This window comes from Homo sapiens, chromosome 6 (assembly GCF_000001405.40).
Source record: "Homo sapiens chromosome 6, GRCh38.p14 Primary Assembly".
Taxonomy (NCBI): domain Eukaryota; kingdom Metazoa; phylum Chordata; class Mammalia; order Primates; family Hominidae; genus Homo; species Homo sapiens.
The window spans coordinates 42196557-42206029 of NC_000006.12; the positions used below are offsets into that span (position 1 = coordinate 42196557).

At 45.5% G+C, this 9473-nt stretch overlaps 2 annotated features.

Moving 5' to 3' along the window:
- Positions 891-1843: a transcriptional cis regulatory region, noted in NCBI's record as "candidate enhancer chr6.2919 targeted for multiplex CRISPR interference". NCBI's record gives its function as "positively regulates MRPS10 gene expression in K562 cells {active_cell/tissue: K562}" and the evidence as "EXISTENCE:mutant phenotype evidence [ECO:0000015][PMID:30612741]".
- Positions 2714-3400: a transcriptional cis regulatory region, noted in NCBI's record as "candidate enhancer chr6.2920 targeted for multiplex CRISPR interference". NCBI's record gives its function as "positively regulates MRPS10 gene expression in K562 cells {active_cell/tissue: K562}" and the evidence as "EXISTENCE:mutant phenotype evidence [ECO:0000015][PMID:30612741]".

Consider the following 9473-nt stretch of genomic DNA (forward strand, 5'->3'; position numbering starts at 1 on the left):
CAGTGAATCTATCCTTAACCTACCCATCCCTCACTGGGTGTTCAGCCTGAATTGTTTTGCACATCTCCAGGCCTGACCTCCTCTCTCACTGTTCTCTGCCTCCAGACGTCACTGAGCTCTGAAAGCTCTTTTAACTTTCTTGCTATTCCTGAAGGAGAAATGTGATTTCTTCTGTCATCCTTTCAAGTGGTGGTGGGTTTTTCTCCCCCACACACACCTCAAGGTCTAGATAACAGGGCTAGTGTCCTCCTCGCTTCTAACTCTTGCCTCCAAATGGCCTTTTACTTTTTTCTCCCCAAAAAAGGCCAGTCCCTTTGAAGCCACATCTGACTCCTTGCCACTATTTACTTCTCCTCATTACTGTCATTCACTGGTGACTTCCCTGCTTGTCTCAAAGCATCATGTCAGTCATTTCAGTGACTGTGACCTCCAAGTGGATAAACAGCCCATCCCATACACTGGCCTCAAAGGTACTTGATCTCTCTCTCTTTTTTTTTTTTTTTTTTGAAACAGAGTTTTTGCTCTTTTCACCCAGGCTGGAATGCAGTGGTGCGATCTCGGCTCACTGTGAACTCCGCCACCCGGGTTCAAGCGATTCTCCTGCCTCAGCCTCCCTAGTAACTGGAATTACAGGTGCCTGCCACCATGCCCGGCCAATTTTTCTATTTTTAGTAGAGATGGGGTTTCACCATGTTGACCAGGCTGGTTTCGAACTCCTGACCTCAGATGATCTGCTCGCCTTGGCCTCCCAAAGTGCTGGGATTACAGGCATGAGCCACTGCGCCCGGCCCCAGTGAGATGTGTGGGGGTCACACTGCCCTCTTAGTCTCTAATTGCTGGCAACCTGGCATGGTCCCACATGCGTAAGCCACCGGGCCTGGCCTGGTCCTTGATCTCTTTAGTTCCAAAGAGCTTTTCTTCCACCTTACCTAGTACTTCCATTCACTTGTGGTCCCTGAGCCACAAGTGCAGCATCTGGGAGCTTGCTAGAAATGCAATGTCTCAGGCCCCACCTCAGACCTGCTGAATCAGGAACTGTGGGCTGGGGCCAGGAGTCTGTGTTTTAACAAGCCCTCCAGGTGCTTCCAATGCGTACTGAAGTTTGAGGATCACCACCCTAGGCCTTGCTGTCACCAATCTCTACTACCTCTGAAACATTCAAACGCTGCCGTCTGTTATCAGCACCCCACCCCTTCCATCTGTTACTGTAATACCTTCACTCCAATAATTCACTAATCTCATTGCGACTTCCAACCTGCTGATCTGTTTTTAACATCTGTCATCTTGCTCATCTCCTCACTCTCCTCCTTATCTTCATTCCATGGCCCAGCATTCTCTCCATTTTGACTTTTGTGCCCCTCTCTCCTCCTAACGCCTCACTTGGCCTGGCCCTGGTTAAGGCTGTTCACTAACTATGCAGTAACACTTTGCCTACAGTGGGGAGCCTGGACATCATTGGAGGACATCATAAATCATGCTGGCTGTACGCACTTCAGATCATGCCAGACAATCATACTACATACTCTTCCTGCCGAATTCCCTCTCCCCCTCTCTGAGATGACTATTCCACAGCGCTTCCTGCCCTCAAACCTTCCACTCACTCCCACACTGTTGCACACTTCACAGAGACAGATGAGGCAGTGACTCATCTTCCCACCAGTGTTTACCAACTTCTCTGTATCTGTGCCCATGTCCTCTGCCCCCTTCCGGTCTCAGTGGAAGCAGCGTGCCCTTCCCCTTGTCCCCGTCAACACCGCCACTTGTTTCCTAGATCACATCTCTCTTTACCTACTCGAAAGCTTCCTTCCCGCAGTTACTCCCTTTCTCTTCTGCAGCCTCCACTCATCCCTCTCTAATGGATCATTCCCGTCAGCATTCAGGTGTGCTGTAATATTGCCTTTATTAAAACAAGACAAAAATCCTTCCTTGACCCCACATTCAGGGCTACATTATGACATTCACGGGCCCCACACGTTTTTGCCTTCATGGGTCATAATACAAATACTGAAAAAATATTAAATAAGTAAATATTAATAATTATCACTGGTATAAAAAAGAACATAATCTAGACTCGGTGTTTCTTTTAAATTATGATTTTATTTTATTATTATTATTATTATTATTTTGAGACGAAGTCTCGCTCTGTCACCCAGGCTGGAGTGCAATGGCACGATCTCGGCTCACTGCAACCTCTGCCCCACCGGGTTCAAGTGATTCTCCTGCCTCAGCCTCCCAAGTAGCTGGGATTACAGGCGTACGCCACCATGCCTGGCTTATTTTCTATTTTTAGTAGAGACAGGGTTTCACCATGTTGGTCAGGCTGGTCTTGAACTCCTGACCTCAAGTGATCCACCCACTTTGGCCTCCTAAAGTACTGGGATTACAGGCATGAGCCACCGCTCCCGGCTCCGATTTTATTTTAATTAACTAATTTATTTATCCTGAGACAGGGTCTCTGTTGCCCAGGCTGGAGTGCACTGGTGCTATCAGGGCTCGCTACAGCCTCGACCTCCTGGGCTCAAGCAATCCTCCCGCCTCAGCCTCCTGAGTATCTAGGACTACAGTTGTGCGCCACCATGCTTGGTTAATTTTTTGATATTTAGTAGAGACAAGGTCTCACTATGTTTCCCAGTCTTGAACTCCTGGGTTCAAGTGATCCTCTTGCCTTGGCCTCCCAACTGCTGGGATTATAGGCATGAGCCACCACACTTGGCCTTTATTTTGGTTTTAAAAGAAATTTAAAATATTGGGCCCTAGGCACTGTGCCTACTGGGTAAACTGACCTGCCCACATCCCCTGCCCAGCTATTGTCCTAAATTTTGCTCCCCTTACAACAAAGCCCCTTGTGGCAGATGTATCTTCAGAAAATGGCAGGACGATCATTCTGGCTTCACGCATTCCTCCCATCAAAGGGAGGAGTCTATTATCTTTCTCTTCAACCCGGAGGAAACTTTCTGGCTGCCTTGTTGAAGATAACTGCAGAAATGACACAATGTGACTTCCAGGGCTAGGTCATCAAAAGTGATAGGTTTCCACCAGGCTCTCTTTCTCAGAACTTGCCCTTGGAACCCAGCCACCATGTTGTGAGGAAGCCCAGAGCACATGCAGGGGTTCTGGCTGAAAGCCAGTCTCAACCACCAGACATGGGTGAATGAGCCTTCAGATGACTCCAGCCCCAGCTTCTGAGCTACTCCAGCCCCAGCTTCTGAGCTACCCCAGCTAATACCACATGGAGCAGACACTATCCCTGCAGAGTCACTGTTTTAAGCTACTAAGTGTTAAGTGTTTTTTGAGGTAGCAATAGATAACTGGGAAATTCTCAAACCTATTTTGCATCCTCTTTTTAAATCTCTTATTCTTTCCTCAACTTACTCCAACTGGACGTTCATCCCCATCACTCCACAGAAATGGCTTTTATTGTGGTCACCAATGATCTACTTTTTTTTTTTTTTTTTTTTTTTTTTTTTTAACCTAACCTGCCACAGATTCATCACAGTTCACCAAACTAAGTTCTTTCTCCACTCTACATTTCAAGGACCCACACTCCTCTGATTTCACTCCAGCCTCACTCATTGCTCATTTTCTTTGCTAGCACCTCTTGCTTTTAACCAAATCTCTAAAAGCTGGGAGCTTTCCAGGCTTGTCTTTAGTACTCTTCCTTTGTTTACCCACACTTGCTCCCTAGATGATCTCATTCATTCCCATGCCATTACACACCATTTACAGGCTGGCAGGTTCCAAATTTGTATCTTCAGCCTGGACCTCTCCCAGGAACTCCAGATGCATGTATTCAACTGCCTACTGGACATCTATACTCAGATTGCAAACTTAGCAAGGCCAAAACCAAATTACTGATTTCCTTCCCGAGTCCCACCTTATCTCTTCTCCACCTCAGTAATGGCACTGCTATTTACGCTTAGGTGAAAACCCAGGAATTATCCTTGAATGCTCTTTCCTTTAGATTTCACTTCAATCTACTAGTAGGTCATTTCATCAGCTCTTCCTGCAAACTATACTCTAAATCAAACCACTTCTCCTCACCTCCATTCCTGACATTCTCGCCCAGACCAGCATCATCTCACCTGGTCCACCGCAGCAGATCCCTAACTGGTCTCCCTGCCCTCTCGTCACTCCTCTTTCACCCAGCAGCCACAGTAGCATACAGCAGATCCTGCCACTCTCCTGCTCAAACCCTCCTTTAGCTTTCCATTTGCTGAGAATAAAATCCACACTCCTCCCCATGCCTATGATGCATTACACGATCTAGTCCCTGCCTACTTCTGTCTTCATGGTCTTCTACACTGCAAACACACCAAACTCCTTCTAGAATCAGTGTGTCTTTGCATGTATTGTTCCTCCTACTTGGACTGTTTTTCCTCCAGATTTTTTTTTTTTTTAGATGGGAGTCTCGCTCTTGTTGCCCAGGCTGGAGTGCAATGGCACAACCTCGGCTCACTGCAACCTCCGCCTCCCAGGTTCAAGCGATTCTCCTGCCTCAGCCTCCCGAGTAGCTGGGACTATAGGCACCCGCCAGCAAGCCCGGCTAGGTTTTGTGTTTTTAGTAAAGATGGGGTTTCACCGTGTTGGCCAGGCTGGTCTCGAACTCCCGACATCAGGTGATCCACCCATCTCAGCCTCCCAAAGTGCTGGGATTACAGGCATGAGTGACCACACCCAGCTTCTTCCTCCAGATGTTAACACCACTGCCTCCTCCTCAGAGAGAACTTTCCCAACTCCCCCTCAGGTAGCCACTCAAGTAATTCTGATATTATCCCATTTTATTTTCTTCACAGTACTTAATTGCATCTGAAACTATCTTATTTTTTTCTCTACTTGTCTGTCTCTCTCACTAAAGTCTATGATCTTTGAGGAGAGGGACTTCACTATATACATTCCAGAATTCCCAGCGTTTAGAACAGTACTTGGCATGTACAGGAAACTCAAATACTTGTTGAGTAACTGAGCAAGGTCCTTGGCACATGGTCAATGCTGAATTAACGTCAGCTATCACTCCTTCATTTTACAAGACAATTCCTCTTTGACTCTGTTTAGTGTCTAGATTAGCAGGTATTTGTTGAGATAAAAATGATAATGGGATTTTAGAACTGGAAAAGGCCTTGAAGATTATCTAGCCCATTAATTTCCAATTACCCATCTCAACACACTTTAAGATAACACATGCCCATCAGCAGCCGTGGCTCTGTAACAGCAGCATCTCAACTGGCTTGGTGTGAAGGTAGTATTATTCCCATCCATCTCTCTTTTTTTAGACAGGGAGACAGGGTCTTCCTCTGTCACCCAGGCTGGAGTGCAGTGGAACACTCTCGGTTCACTGCAACCTCCATCTTCCGGGTTCAAGCAATTCTTATGTCTCAGCCTCCTAAGCACCTGGAATGCCCAGCTAATTTTTGTATTTTTAGTGGAGGTGGTGTTTTGCCATGTTGGCCAGGCTCCATCCATCTCTTAACACTTATTATTTAAGCAGCATTGAAGATTGATTAAAGTACAGTATCTCTGCCCAAGTTAAGAAATTTTATGAGTGAAATATAACTTGATTTAACCTCTGGCCGAGGAATTTAAAATTCAATTGGTTTTTCATGTGGGTCAGTTGCCCATGACCTGCCCTATAAATAAATGTCGCTGAGCTACTGAGTTATAAATATATCATTTTAAAGAGGATTAGAAATCCAGCCGGGCATGGTGGCTCAAGCCAGTAATCCCAGCGCTTTGGGAGGCTGAGGTGGGCGGATCACTTGAGGTCAGGAGTTTGAGACCAGCCTGGCCAACACACCGAAACCCCATCTCTACTAAAAATACAAAAGTTAGCTGGGCGTGGTGGCGGGTGCCTGTAATCCCAGCTACTCAGGAAGCTGAGGCACGAGAATCGCCTGAACCTGGGAGGCAGAGGTTGCAGTGAGCCGAGATTGTGCCACTGCACTCCAGCCTGGGCGACAGTCAGACCCTGTCTCAAAAAATAAACAAATAAATAAATAAAAATAAAATAAATAAATAAATAGATAAATAAAATAAAGAGGATTAAGAATCCATAGAGAGAAATGAGAGCTTGAAGTGAGTAACAATAGAAAGGATTTAAGGAGGGCAGGGTTAGGAATTGAGCAGGGGATTTGGAAAGAGAGTCCTGGGGATTGCAGGCAGTCAGCCATAAGCCTGGCTCCAGGGGCAAAGATATGCTTAAAATCGACAAACCCATGTCTTCTGAGCCCTAGTCAGGCTGGACCTGAAGCCCCACTGTGAATCATCTCCATCTGAGTGTTCTTGTGACCGAGTAGGACTCCCCTTGCTGATGCCTAAACTCTTGTGTTGCCCCCTCCCTCAGGACCAGTCTGAGCAGTGGGACCACCTAAATTGTGCCGTGTATCTTGCTTCTTGCTTTAATTCATTAATTTTTCCTCCCAGTCAATCACTTTACTTCTAAGCTTTAGACCAAGCTTATCCAATTGGAGGCCCACGGGCTGCATGCGGCCCAGGACGGCTTTGAATGCAGCCCAACACAAATTGGTAAACTTTCTTAAAACATTGTGAGATTTTCTTTCATGATTTTTTTTTTAATTAGCTATTATTAGCGTTAGTGTATTTTATGTGTGGCCCAAGACAATTCTTTCAATGTGGCCCAGGGAAGCCAAAAGATTAGACACCCCTGCTTTAGAGGAAACGAGTACATTTTGGTAACGTGAGAGGTGAACAAACCTGGAATTTAGCTTTGAATATTCTGCATTTAGTATGTGGATATTTGAGTACCTCATAGCCTGCTTACAAATTAGCTTCTAGGGCTGACCCTGTCACTAACAGCTTCATCTGTAAGCTGAAAGGGTGACTGAGTGGGCAAATAACAACTCTCTAAGCCTTGGTTTTCTGTCCTGTAAAATGGGGACAATGGTAAGTACTTCAGTGTGTTAATAAAAATCAAAGGATTTTTGGTTTGTGGCTGGGCGCTGTGGCTCATGCCTATAATCCCAGCACTTTGGGAGGCTGAGGCTGGCAGATTGCTTGAGCTTACAAGTTTGAGACCAGCCTGGGCAACATGGCAAAACCCTGTTTCTACAGAAAAAAAAAAGAAAGAAAAAAAAAGAAAAATTAGCCGAGTGTGGTGATGTGTGCCTATAGTCCCAGCTACTAAGGGGGCTGAGGTAGGAGGATCATTTAAGCCCAGGAGGCGGAGGTTACAGTGAGCCAAGATTGTCACTGCACTCCAGCCTGGGTGATAGAGCCAGAACTGTCTGAAAAACAACGCTAAGGGCTGGGTGCGGTGGCTTATGCCTGTAATCCCAGCACTTTGGGAGGCCGAGGCGGGCGGATCACGAGGTCAGGAGATCGAGACCATCCTGGCTAACACAATGAAACCCCGTCTCTACTTAAAAATACAAAAAATTAGCTGGGCGTGGTGGCGGGTGCCTGTAGTCCCAGCTACTCGGGAGGCTGAGGCAGGAGAATGGAGTGAACCTGGGAGGCGGACCTTGCAGTGAGATTGTGCCACCACACTCCAGCATGGGTGATAGAGCGAGACTCCATCTCAAAAAAACAAAAACAAAAACTCTAAGGTAAATGTTATCCCTACCCTGGAGGTAACCTGAGGTCTTTTCCAGCTGGTTCTTGAACAGTATAGCACACAAGCATCTAAAGTATCATCGGAATGGTACTGCCATTTACTGAATGTCTGTTACCTGCTCAATACTGTGCAAGGTTTTTTATCAGTTATCGAATACTCCAACCTTATTAAGCTGGAGCATTAAATATATGTCAAATGTAAGTATGTAGGTATTATTTCCTACAGACTTATTATTACCTTTACTAATGAGTACACTGAGGCCCTGACAGGGTTAAATCTCTTGCCCAAGTTTACGGCAGTCAGTGGGTTTGAACTCTTATCTGACTCATGTCTGTCTGACTCCAAAGTCCATGTTTGCTCTATTCTGTCATTCATTAGTCTTGTAATAGAACTAACTTAATAATGTAATGTAAGACAGGGATGGTTGCAGACAACTAGAAATGTTAAGAAACTAGACTAATAATTTAAAATGATTGCTTTATGTATTCACTGTGGCATGTTTAAATGGTCATAGGGCCAGGAACATATGCCATTCTTTCAAAGCACTGAAACTTGGCACTTGAACTAGTTTAGTCTGTCTTACCAGAGATCTGTAGTTATACTAAGACTCTTGGATGAGAACATGATTTTATTTAATATGAAGAAAATATAGGCTGGGCATGATGGCTGATGCCTGTAATCTCAGTATTTTGGGAGGCCAAGGCCGAAGAATCACTTGAGGTCAGGAATTTGAGACCAGCCTTGGCAACAAAGTGAGACCCCCATCTCTACAAAAAGATTAAAAAATTAGCCATGTATCATGGTACATGCCTGTGGTTCCAACTACCTGGGAGGCTGAGGCAGGAGGATCATCTGAGCCCAGGAGGTCAAGGCTGCAGTGAGCTGTGTTCATGCCACTGCACTCCAGCCTGGGCGACAGAGCAGGACCCTGACTCCAAAAAATAAAAAAATGAGCTGAGTGTGGTGGTGCACACATTTAGTCTCAGCTACTTGGGAGGCTGTGGTGGGAAGATCCCTTGAGCCCATAAGTTCGATTGTGTAGTGAGCTTTGATCGTACCACTGCACTCCAGCCTGGGCAACAGAACAAGACTCTGTCTCTACAAAAAAAAAAAAAAAAAAGAAAAAGAAAAAAGATCATCTCACTTCCTACCTGCCTTCTGGTTCATTCTATTTTTTTTCTTTTTTTTGAGATGGAGTTTCACTCTTGTTGCCCATGGCGTGATCTTGGCTCATCGCAACCTCTGAGTTCAAGGGATTCTCCTGCCTCAGCCTCCCAAGTAGCTGGGATTACAGGCATGCGCCACCACACCCTGCTAATTTTGTATTTTTAGAAGAGACAGGGTTTCTCATATTGGCCAGGCTGGTCTCCAACTCCCAACCTCACATGATCCGCCCGCCTCAGCCTCCCAAAGTGCTGGGATTACAGGCGTGAGTCACCACTCCTGGCCGGTTCATTCTATTTTTTTTTTGCCATTACTTTTAATGGCAAAAACTGCAATTACTTTTGCACCAACATATATTATCAAATCCACTCTTCTCTCACCATCTCCCATACCCACCATGGACAGAAAGTGTGACCCAGGCATTAATTCTAATTTTCAGGATATGCATTTTACTCAGAGGCCTAATTTAAAACCAACAAAAGAAAACCAAAAATCTTCTTAGCCTATCAAGATAGCTATATCCTGATAAGCTAAGAAGTTATTTTGTTTATATCATTTTTTCAGTACTGTACTTCATGCCAAACTTGTTTATATCAAGAAGCGGGCTTCAAATATGCCAAATACTTTCGTCGAAGAAATACTGCTAGTTTTGGGCCAGGCGCAGTGGCTCATGCCTGTAATCCCAGCACTTTGGGAGGCCGAGGCAGGTGGATCACGAGGTCAAGAGATCAAGACCATCCTG